Source organism: Homo sapiens, chromosome 4, assembly GCF_000001405.40.
Source record: "Homo sapiens chromosome 4, GRCh38.p14 Primary Assembly".
NCBI lineage: Eukaryota > Metazoa > Chordata > Mammalia > Primates > Hominidae > Homo > Homo sapiens.
Window position 1 is genome coordinate 113,577,904 of NC_000004.12, and position 12,936 is coordinate 113,590,839.

General features: G+C 36.8%; 1 protein-coding gene across 53 annotated transcripts in view, besides 1 other annotated feature; it reads right to left on the reverse strand.

Annotated features, from left to right (window-relative positions):
* Positions 1–12,936, reverse strand: part of CAMK2D (calcium/calmodulin dependent protein kinase II delta) — a 310,707-nt gene that overhangs the window by 126,872 nt on the left and 170,899 nt on the right. The window lies entirely within an intron of this gene.
* Positions 10,473–10,642: an enhancer, noted in NCBI's record as "experimental_72247 CRE fragment used in MPRA reporter constructs". NCBI's record gives its function as "activates a minimal promoter by MPRAs in K562 erythroleukemia cells, with activity observed for both the introgressed and non-introgressed 4:114509617 variant alleles {active_cell/tissue: K562}" and the evidence as "EXISTENCE:reporter gene assay evidence [ECO:0000049][PMID:34662402]".

Here is a 12,936-nt window from a genome sequence, read left to right on the forward strand (position 1 = left end):
CCTTCCATAAATAACATCATATGCTTTTCCACCACTATGAGCCACATATGGAATGCTAGGAGTTTCACAGTCCTACCATCCTTCTATAGCTTGAAAGACTGACAGGAGGAAGATGGTTGCAGAATCTGGCTGAGTATTGGTATTGTGTTTTTGTCAGAATACTTGAGCTCCACTCTAAAAGTCGTTTAAATTAGATGCTTTGTACCAGGGTTCAACCCACTTCATTGAAGAAAGATATTCTGTTCCCAAGGAACAGTATCTTAATATTTCGGATCATTTTCCCAGCAATGAAATGTCCATTCAATCCTGTCATAGTCAGCCCCTTTGTTCACATTTCCCCCTTTATTCAAGTATCCTGGGACTCTGTTTCTAATTCTTGTTGGCCAGAAGAGAAAAAGAAAAAGGACTCACTAAGAATGTCTCTCTACATATTTGGTTATTTGTGAGAATTGTCAGGATTGGGTCAACTCAGTTGTATAGCTCTAGAATTACAGAGTAGGTTAATGACCAAGCCACACTGTGCCACTCACTCTGTTCCATCTCGGAATTGTTTGTTTTTTATACTGGAGACAAGTTTTTCAAGTGTATTGCTTTAAGTTATCCCTCATTCCCTATTGGGTTCATATCAGTTCAAAATGAAAATGTTTCAGCTAGTTTTGCTCGTTTGGTAGGTATGGGGGAAAGTGTGCCATTGGATTTTATGTTACAGTTTAAATATGATATCTTAAACCAGAAATTTTACTCAAGTTTGTAAATAAGCAGTTTTTCACAGAGCTAAAGAGATAACTTTAACAATACATAGATGTAGCCAAAGCTCTTTCTTCTCATTTCTTCCCCTAAACACTTGCAAATTTTAAAAGTCATCGTAAGATTTTAACAGAGAAGGTTAAGAGTAAAAAAATCCACATCTAATGCAGTGAAGAGCAATTTGCAGAGGCATGTCCTGTCCTTTGGCAGAAAATAGCATTGAGCTACTGTCTGCTACCATTGCTACACAATCAAATTCTTCCATAAAACTGAGTATATCTGAAGAATGACAAACAATTAAAAAATATGCTACAAAATAAAAACTCCTTTCTTCAAAAACCAAAGACTATCTCTTAACTTTATAGAATAAATGGAAAAAGGCAAACTGTACAAATCAGGAGACAGCCTGAGTTATATGTACCAATCACTTACATTATCTGCTCTCCTAACACGGATATAACAAAAGGCCAGTTTAAAAACTATATTCCACTGACTGTTTTTGGAGACTAAGCTATGCAGAGGAATTTTTCTGTAAGCAGAAATGGCTAGACAGGTGCTATATTATAGTTGAGTCTTTGCTAAAATTGTTGCTTCTCATCCAGGTTTGGCTGCTCCTTCTCTCTGGAATTACAACACCAATTCTCAAAGTAACATGATGCTCTTCCTTTTACTTTTCCTTAAGCATGTTTCCCCTTAGCATGTGATATGGTTTGGATATTTGTTCTCATCAAATCTCATGTTGAAATGTGACCCCTACTGCTGTAGATGGGGCATAGTGGGAGGTGTTTGGGTCATGGGGGTGGATCCCTCATAAATGGCTTGGTGCCCTCTGCCCACTGCCCTGCCACAACAGTGACTGAGTTCTCACTCTATTAGTTCATAAAATAGCTGATTGTTAAAAGACCCTGGTACTTCTTCCCCTCTCTCTTGCTCCCTCTCTTGCCATGTGACACTGCCTGCTCTCCCTTCACCTTCCACTATGATTGGAAGCTTCCTGAATCCCTCACCAGAAGCAGATGCCAGCACTATGCTTCTTGTACAGTCTACAAAACTATGAGCCAAAATAAACCTTTTTTCTTTATAAATTATCCGGCCTCAGATATTCCTTTACAGCAATGCAAAACAGACTAACCCAGCATGCTTGAAAGAGCCTGACATTTTAAAACAGAGAACTTTATTAAAAACCAGAAAAAGAATTCTTGAAATATTTACTGAAAATACAGCCACTGTTTGAAAAAGTCAGCTTTCCAAATACAGGTTTCCCATCCCAAGACTTCCAGTTGACAGTACAGAAGAGTTTTTCTTCAACCAACAGTTCCATGTCCTACCCACATGTAAGGCCAAATTTGGCCTGCATGGCTACTTACATAACTATGTGGTTTCCTTTCCTCCTAGGTCCCAGATTTTACAATGAAAGATACTATCTCATTTTTTCTAAACAAAAGTGTAATCCCTCATTTATTTTATTCTATTTTAAAACCAAATACCATGACCTTATTAATGAAGCTCTTTCAAACTCTGACATACTTAACCAATTAAAAAGGCAAGAGAAAATGACATGTTTGATGTGCATGAATAACTTAACACTCCTCAGTTGGTTCATTAACTTTTGGGATATTCTGTTATGCCACAGTTGCTGAGTGTTCTCAAATACATAGTTTATACTCTCACATGAACATAAACAGAAATGGTTTTTCATATTGTATTCATTAAAGTGCTACAATATATCAACCTTTTAAATATAGCACAATGATAATGTTACACATTTAGTATTGATTTAGTACTGATTCAGTAAGATGTACCACATTTTCTTAACCGTAGATATAACTGTCTCTCTAGTTAGAAAAGATATTCAGAAAACTAACTAAAATCCAACAATTACCTTATGATTACTTCCTTAGCTGTAAAACATACATACTTCTTGTTGCATATACTCTTTGTTGTGATTAAGAGATCAGACTCAGAAGTAGGTCTGTTTGGTATCAAATTCAGGTGTAAAAACTTACTACCATAGAGCTACAGGTATCTATCTTAACTCATGAAGGCTTATTATCTGTAAAATCATGATAATAATGGCAACTACTTCATAAGATTATCAGGATTAAATGAAATAATGTATTCAGGGCTCTGAGTGCAATGAATACCACATATTTAAGCACTTAATTCAAGTTGGCTATAATTATTTTTAAAAGCTATACTATAGTATTCAGAAGAAGTGACCTTTCTGTTTTTTTAAATATATCAGTCATCAGAAATGGAATGTGGGGTAGGGTGGGGGGAGGGAGAATATTAGAAAAAATAGCTAATGCATGCTGGGCTTAATACCTAGGTGATGGGTTGATAGGTGCAGCAAACCACTATGGTACACGTCCACCTATGTAACAAACTTGCACATCCTGCACATGTGCCCCAGCACTAAAAATAAAAACAAAAATAAAAATGCAGTGTGAAAGTAGAGGTAAAATAATTTTCTCACAAACAGAATAATTTTATTAATATAAGGAGGTAGAATCAATAATTGTTATTCTATTTGACCTTTTCTATACCTAAATAACTGAGAAGGAAGAAAAAAAGAAAGACTGGCTGGGTGCGGTGGCTCACACCTGTAATCCCAGCACTTTGGGAGGCCGAGGCGGGTGGATCACCTGAGGTCAGGAGTTCGAGACCAGCCTGACCAACATGGAGAAAGCGTGTCTCTACTAAAAATACAAAATTAGCCAAGTGTGGTGGCACATGCCTCTAATCCCAGCTACGTGGGAGGCTGAGGCAGGAGATTCACTTGAACCCGGGAGGCGGAGGTTGCGGTGAGCCAAGATCTTCCCATTGCACTCCAGCCTGGCCAATGAGAGCAAAACTTTCTCATAAAAAAAAAAAAAAAAAAAAGAAAAGAAAAGAAAAGAAAAAGACCAGGCTATGTGTTAACTTAGTCCTTAGAAGGTATTTGATTTTTTTTTTCTTTAAAAGGTCTGAAATTTTCAGGTGAAAACTGAGCTCACAGAAATAACCCAGACTTCCGTAAGATTATGTTCTTCCTTCCCACTACTACAGCCTTCTACTCCTTCTACTTTAGGAATTAAAGTGGTGGTGCTAGCAAAACATTGATATTTGCCTGTGATTTGGGATTAAGAACATTAAATGTCATTGGGTAATTTTCCTGTCTTTTCATGAAAACTAGAACTCACACCAGCTATATTAAGTAAAAGTAGATCTGTAGGGGAAAGTCAGATAATTCAATTATAAGTTCAGCTAGGCCTCTGGGAAACTAGAATATCATCAAGGTACTATGCTCATCTCCCTTTCCATGACGAGAAAGGGACGCTGGCTCAATGATTCTCTGTCTGCCTGCTCAATTCTCCTTCCTTCTGATTGGCTTCTTTTGCATAACTCATTTTTGCAGCTCCTCATAACTCTCACTTAACCATGGCTTTTGGAGAGCATATTTTGACTCTGGCCGCAAATCTCCAAGACTTTAGAATTTTGGTCTGTCTTGGTTTCACATCCAGGTTGACCAGTTAGATGTTTACATTTGATCCAATAAATTGTCTAGGTCAGAATCATGTGACATGTAGGGTGGCCCACCCACATAGGGTGTGCGTAGGATTTATTCTCCATGAATAGGATAGGGGTAGGAAGGAAATTTATATATAAACCATAAGACAAATAAAAGCATTTAAATCTAGGACACACGTTTCTATTTAGCAGAGCTGTCTCTTTAACCTGAATTTATTGAGGTACAATTTACATATAGCAAAATCCACTCTTTTTGGTGTATAGTTCTGAGTTTCGACAAACACATATCGTCGTGTAACCATCATGTGATCAAGTCAAAGTATGTTTCTATCATTAACTCATATCTAAAAATTCTGAAAAATGTACACCTTAAGTATCCCTCCTTTTACCTTAAAGAAGCGAGCTGATAAGCTGCTCTTACTGAGGAACTTTCCTTTTTAAAAAATTTGCCTTTAAGAGGTAACAGAAACATTATATATATTGATACTGAGACCTGAGTATTTTTACTCATGGCCTATTTCAGGCTGTTATTTAAATAAATATTAAAGGGACTTCTTTAAGCTAGAACTTCATGAAACATGTAATGTATAAGGGCTCAGGTGAAGCATCTCTGTACAGTATATACAGTAGACACTTATTGTTATAAGCTTTAGACAGTATCTGAATTTAGACCACAGCTTGCCGATAAATGGACACTCTCCCATGGCATTCTGCCAGTGGAGGGGTGGAAATGCTTGGGAGATAAACAAAGGTCACAGCTTTATTTAACACCGTCACACACCAAATCGGAAGATAGGCATTCCCTATTGGGGCAGAGACAGTCTGTCCTCCCGTGACTGCTCAGCTCTTCAGTGGAGTCAAATCCTGCCTTTAAAAGGTGGGGCTCACCAAGTGGCCTAAAACAGGTCTCATCTTTCATCAAGGGCTTCTAATTTTAAATTGCTGCCATGCTAAATTTTATCTTGAGTGTTGCCCTCAGTCTCCACCCAGTTTGCTGAGATGTACCACTGGTTTTAAACAAGAATTTTCCAGGGTTTTGAATTCCAATGTGCATTATTTAGCAAATACCCTTCATAGGGCACAAAAAATGCAAGTTGATTAAGAATTTGAATAAAAGCCTCATTTATGAGCATTGGATGTATTTCATGTGGTATACTGAAGCTAACCTACAAAAATATCAATCTCTACTGATACCGCTCTCTGCAATAACAGAATCCACTAAGAAGAGATTAAAAACAAAACCAATCATTTCCCAGGATAAAAGGTTAAAGTTCCAATTTAAACAATACTTAGAAATACACTGTAGCAGCCTTATGAGTTGCAACTTGGACTCAACTGGTAAAAATGGGTAATTATCACATGCTATGAAACTCAACTCCTCCAAAATACGAGGGAGCAGGATTCCTCTGGATAACTTTGCCCAGAAACAACATATCTCTAGTAATGCTGCCAGCAGGAAAATTTAGCTGATAATTGCTGTTTAAAGCACTTATGGTTTGAAATGGGACCCCTTAAAAATAAAATTTCTAGTTTAACTTATATACAGTTACCCTTATAAAAGACAAGGGTACAGATAGAATGTACTTACTGAAGTTATTTAATTCTTTCATATTACACACACATGTAATTTTTTTTTCTGTTATGGAATTCAGCATCTTTCATGTAGATTAACATCACCTGCATGTGCATTTTATTCCCATTGTGGACTAAGGTACTAGTGTCTCAGTGTTCAGTGCAGACAGATTGAAATGCCTGAGTGAAGGCCACCATGTACTGCAGCCTTTAGTCTGCCTTTACAGATCAGAAAAACCTAAACCAGTCTTCCATAAAGCTTAATCATTGGCTGGGGTATGGAGAAATCTGATTCTTGCATTTACATTATAAAACCCCAACATAATATAAGACTATGCCTGGGTATCTCAAGTTATTTCTAGCAGTCTTTCCATTGTCAGTAAAAGGTGTTTCTTATCTACAGAATGTGGGCCAAGAGTCACTGCACTGAGTGGACGTGAATTCTGGGATCTCATGTTTTCAGCATTAGGATTAGGTTGTACAAGAACCTATGGGGAGTAGAATGTGGGAGATGGAGATTGACCTCAAAGTGTGAGAGCTCTTGGGGTGATTACCATAAGCAAAAATAAAAAAGGGATAATTAAGTGAGTCCAAACGGTTTCAAAGCCCGAAGGCTGTGTGAGTTGTAGAATGTGAAGCATGGGAGCTGGAGATGTTCCTGAGCTTCTCTCTTCACCCCGATGATGAGGAGAGAAAACACAGGACAGCCAGGCCTTCTTGGTTTATGCAGGAAGAAGAGAGGTTTCTTGGAAGGCTTTGGGGTAGCTCACAAAACAAAAGGTAGGCCTGAGGAAGCAGGCTCAGCAATCATGAACCAGAGAGGCTTCCTGGTTTCAGGTGGTGGGAACAGATGTGTCTCTCCACCAGTCAGTTCACTTCTATTTTCAGTCCGTAAGTTATTTGGCTCAGGTTACAAATTCCAGAGAAGGGGGTGTACCTCACAAGCTTAGTTCAGGTTTTATGCTCACCCCTTAGATAAGGGAGAAAAAGATAGCTGGGGCAGACCCAGCAGGCTACATATAATGAGGAAATGTTGGTCTTGCAGTTAAATTGTGGTGGTTTCCAAAAGAACACAATAGCTAAGCAACAAAAATAAAAGATATTAATGATGCCTATCTTTTATCTTAAGAAAAAAAAAGTTTTCTGGTTCTTTACGTATTTCTGCCTAAAGACCCATTAAAAACTGAAGGGCTCACTCATATTCACAGATCCCTGCTGAAGCTGGGAACCAGAGGGCTGAGTCACTCTCCCCTGCTGTTTATCCGGGTCCCACACCAGCTTGCTGTCCTTTCTCATCATCTCACTTTGGGCCAAATGTAACTAGAGACTTCTCAGCTTATTTTTAGTAGCTGGTAGAGAAACATAATGTGTTCAATTCCTTAATTAATAGTCTCCACAATTTTTCCACTAGAGGAGAGGAGACAAAACAGGTTAACATATTTATCTCTGTGCATTAAATTATCTATAGGTAAAATAAGACCAGGTATCATTTGAATTTCAAATTCAGGCAAGAGTAATTGATTAATTAATTAACAAAAAAGACAATATTTCATATAATCAACGTGAGGAATTTCAGATTTGCAGTTGAACCTCTAAAGTGATTTTTTTCCCTAGACTTCACTCGTTGTCCTTCCCCAGCCTCATGTGTGTGCACGGACACAAACATACATACATACACACATATACATGTGTGTATATATGCACACACATATTTGTATACACATGTATTTTGTATACACAGGGTAATTCACAGATGTTATCTGATTTCATAAAATTGTGTGTGCTACTTTATACATCTTTATCCTTTTTAACCTTTTGAATCAGAAAGGCATATGGTCAGAGGAAAACTCAGTTTCTCTGATAATGACTGAATTAAATATGCAATCTTACAGTGTAGATTAGTATACAGTATAGTATAGATTAGTATATAGTATAGATTAGTATATATATAGTATAGGTTAGTGTATATATAGATTAGTATATCATATAGTATAGATAGTATATAGTACAGTATATAGTATAGTATAGATTAGTATATAGAACTTTGTGCCAAAAAATAAAAGCACTTTTTAAAAATGCAGTTCCAGTTTTGTAAAGATAACTTAAGTATTGCATCCAGTATTAAACTGGAAGTAATTGTGTTTAAGAAAAGAGCTTTAATTGGCATGTATATGCCTTGTTGCTATTCACCTAGACTACCCACTTTTGGCCACATTGTTTCCTTTCCTTCAAAGGAAATTTTGCTCCTGGCTTGAATCCTGGCTGCCTCTTCTTTCTGTCTGACTGTAGTGGACCTATGCGGTTTTTTAATTTGTTTTTTGTTTCACTTTTTTTGCTTTAGTAAACTACTCTCCTACTCTTGGTCCATGTGTCCTGTACTGGTTTGACAACCACCTGTTTCCAGCTCCACAAGCTAGCATGTAATTCCCTTGGTGAGAGTAATTGGTTCAAGGATGAACTATACAACTCAATTTTCATAGAGTTGTTGGAATTAACTGGCAAAAGGCTATCTTTGCAATAACACTTGTTGCTGTAAGAATGATGTAAGCCTGGAACTGCTGGAGGTCACCATATTGGATAAATGTGCCTGGCAATAAAGTAGAAAAGAGGACCTGAGACCAGCTGAATTTGGGCCACCATTGAGCAACATTTGAAACCAGGTCAACTCACAGATTTTTCTCAATTATTTGAGGAAATAAGTTAACTTTTTGGCCAAAGCTATTTTGGATTGCTGCCCCTTGCAATATAAAGAGTCCTGAAGAATGCACTAATTTTTACATGTTATTGTCAACCACTTTTCAGCAAAACACCCCCAAATCAATCCATGTGATTCTAGCTACAAAGGTTTTGTTCACACTTCTTTTCTCAATAGAACAACCTAGGTTGTGAGGCTCAGCTCAATTCTGTTACTAAAACACCTTCTGATCATGCTTTGGTCCAAATAGAACCAGCTCTCACAAACCTAGGCTTTATCTCTTTATTTAAGAAACAAACCCACTCCAGTACTACTGATTGAGAGCTTATAACATCCAGAAGCTTACAGAAAAGCCTCTATCTATGAATATTCGCTGGTTATAGTAATAAAGAGACAAAATTGGTGGTCCGTTAGCTCCATGTTCAGGGCATGCAGGTAAAAGAACAGGGTCATGGAACAAGGAAGGGATACAAAAAACAGTTTGAATAAAAAATAAGACTTCAGAAAGTCTCTTGTTAACTTTTGTTTTAAGGAAAGAGATAAAAACAAACCATTCAAAACTAAATGCAAGCACATAATACCCCATCATCTAAGTTCTGCTAAAGAGTAAATATAAAGCAATATTTTACAGTTGTTCATAGCACTATTTTCAGTGTCAGGCAAATCTAAGTTTAAATCCTAGCACAGCCACTTACTCTGTGACCTTAGGTAAAGCAAATAAACTCTCCTCCCTCAATTTCATCTGTAAAGAAGAATTAGAATAATACTATATACCTTATGGAGTTACTGTCAATGAGACAATGTGTATATGCTTGTCAGTTTGAGAAGGAGGAGTTCATGGTAAGTGCTTAACAAATGTTCACTCTTATTAAGGCCAGACATTCTTTTACAAAATCAAAATGACTTTCAAGTAATTTCACATGCTGATAAAGGCAATTCAGTAACATGCGCCTGAGGCAAATTTCATTTGTGACTATGGCTTTTTACTCTTAGGTCTTATTCACATAGTTAGGTTTTTCAGCAGAGACAACATCCCAGTCTCTAAAACTCTCTTTCACACCGTAACACTCAAAAGGAAGAGCAGGGTCTTTATTCTTAATTATTTTTTGCTTTCTTTAGGAAGAGATTATCTGAACAACTAAAGAGAACTGAAGGATTGAGGTTGCTTTGAGAAATAGTTTCATTGAGAAATAGTTAATATTGAAACACAAAGTTACAGAAACAATGCTTTAAATCTAAGTGTATATGGAAAGTGTTCTTCCTTCTCCAGACTATTAGTAACAGTCAGTTATAAAGTTTTTCCAAACTCTGGGCCTAAATTTTAAAGGTCTAAATATTGCAATTCCTATGGCATGAGGCTGTCTATCATCAGTACACGCTAGTCATAGTCCCCAAGTGTTTTGGGTTTCACAATTATCAGCTAAGCATACCCTTCGAAAAAGTCTGTATCATCAATAATACTAGGAAAAGAAGCCAAATATGATGATGATGTCATCCAGATCAGTAGGTTTCTTTGTTCAAGCAAGAGCAGGCAGAAAATATTTCTTTCTGCCCATGAAAATGCCCCATTTGGGTCAACATTTCTGGAAAGGGTTGAATAGTTTTCAGATTCCAAAATAAGAGATTAAAAAAGCAAACAAAAGAGTCTTTCTTTCCAGAGACTCCATTGAAGAATGCAACCACTGAGAAAATATATTAATCCATGTATATACGTTGCATGTTTCAGTCTTGGCACCTTGTGGGTTTGAGAAAGAAAATGACAGGAAAGACTTCAATTGCTTAAATAATTATAGCCATTAGTATCAGGCTCCCCGGGTAATTGAATATCCTACTTTACTTGCTGGCTAAAAATAAGTAGCCAAATGTTTCTAAGAAAAAGACAAGGTAAATGGTACATACTGATACTTCAAATCATTAAGCATCATAATAATAAAGAAAAATCATATTTCAATTTAAGTACATCATAAATACCATGTGAGACAACACTGCCTCTATTTAGACCATACAGGCATAACTATTTTCATTTCTTAAAACGTATCATGATGTCTCATTTTGCTCAAAAGCAGATACTTGGCTAAACCAAATCTCTAGTTTTAGTACTGACCAAAAATCAATTTCTATGATTCTGAGCATACTAATTAACTATTACTTAGGCAATAGTTGGCACTGAGGCACCATTATGTAACCAAAGTAGCAAGTAGATGAAAGAAAACCTAAAACATTCACTTACAACTCTTTAAACCCTTTGCAAAACAATGCTATATTCTTCCCAGAAGTTTTCTCATGTGCTCTTCTGCAAAAGTATTTATTGAACATCTGTTATGTGCTCTAGACACTGGGGATAATAGTGATCAAAAGAGAAAAAAGTCCCTGCACTAATGGAGCTTACGTCATAGTTGGTAATATAGAAAATTAACCAGATAAATTAATTCATGGTAGTTTAATAGTGGTGTCAAAAAAGAAAAAAAAAAAAAGCCAAGGAAGGAATTAAGAAAAGTTGGTGAAGAAAGCAGATCAACTTTTAGATTGGTGGGCAGGGAAGGCCTCTGTGAGCCAAGCTCTGAGAGGAGAGCTGGGGAGACCATGCAGGTTTCTGGGAGAGGAACACTCAGGGCCAAGGAAAGAGGAAGTGCAAATACCTTGAGCTGCAATATGCCTAGCATGTCCCAGGCTGTGAGGTAGGCAGTGTGGCTGGGGCTGAGTGGGTCAGAAGGAGAGCAGTAGGCAATGTGGCAATGGAGTGTTTTGAGCAGAGGAGTGGCATGCTCTTGGAATTTGATAGGAACTCTCTGGCTACTGTGTTGAGAGAAGACTATATGAAGGTGAGGGTAGAAAGAGGAAAACTAGTTGGGACACTTTTACAGTGATCCAGCAAGCGATGATAATGGTTTTGGCCAAGGGGGTGCTGTGGAGATTCAAGATATATTCAAGTTCTGACAGATTCAAGTTCTGAATATATTAGATTCAAGAAGTGCAAATGTCTTGAAGTTGAGATATGCCTAGCATGCACCAGGCTATGAGTAAGGCAGTATGGCTGGAGCGGAGTGAAATATATTCAGTTTCTGAATGTATTTTGAATCTAATAGGAGTTGCTGATGAGTCAAATATGGTAAGTAAGAGAAGGGCGCAATGAGTCAATAATTACTCTAAGGTTTTTGGACTGTGAGCCTGAAAAAGACGGAGTTGCCACTAAGAGGAGTAACTTTGACCTTAGAGAGATGAGGAGAACTGTTTTAGATATCTTAAATTTGAGATGCCAATTAGACATGCAAGTAGAGATAGTGAGTAGGCAACAGAATGCGCAAGTCTGGAGTTTGGGTAGAGGTCTGAGTAGCAGTTGTAAATTTGGATATCATTAGCTTATAGATGGAATAATTTAAAGCCATGATACTGGATGAGATTCTTAAGAAGCAAGTATAAGCAGAGAATGCATGATGCCCAAGGACCAAGCCCTTGTACTCCTACGTTTAAATGTCTGGGAGATGAGGAAGAACCCGCAAAGAAGATACAAAAGGGTGGAAGGAAATTACCTCTATGGTATGGCCAAATTACCTCTATGATATTTTGAATATATGCATGTTAATAAGGTTAAATGAATATTCAAAAGACTTAAAATATCTTGAAGAGAGGCACAAAATCCTACTCATTTTGGGCTTCAGGGACCAGCACTGTACCAGCTACATAAAAAAACACTAAATGTATCTGTTGAATGAATAAGTGAATGGATAAATGAATGTAGAATCTTAAACATTCACTTTGGCTCAATGAATATTTATTGAGCATTTTCTAGTTCCAGAAACTGAGCAAGACACTGAGAAAACAAATATAGATAGAGATCTATCTGATAGGGAAGACAGACAGGTTAACTTGATAGTATATTGGTTTAATTTCTTGCTAAGAGAAACATCAGGCAATTAAATGGAAATATATCAGACACAGAAGAAAAAAGTATGTTATTTAGGAGAATGACAGAACTCCTTTAAAGAAAATTCTAAAATCTGATTCCCCATCCTCCCTTTTAACAAGAAATATAAGAAATTACAGTGAAAGTCAATGGATAATCATGATTCAAGATAGTCAATTTCCTATGCATAAAACTTTTCATTAACACGTCTATCACTACACGAGAACAGCAAAGAAGAAAGATGAACAAGATCATAAATTATAATTTTCTTCCAGTTCTACTTTGAAAGCTTTTTTTGAGGCTCCAATAAAAGTTCTGGTTAATTTTAGATTACTAATTTGTAATTCAAAACTTATAAACTTCAAAAGCATTTATGAAAAATCTAATTAATATTTCTCTTTCATATATTCTTTAAAACAAAAGTAACATCTTACTTAAAATAACTGGGACAGAATAACTCTACTCAGTTAGATCTTTGCCCTCACTACCTCACAGAACTGACACATAT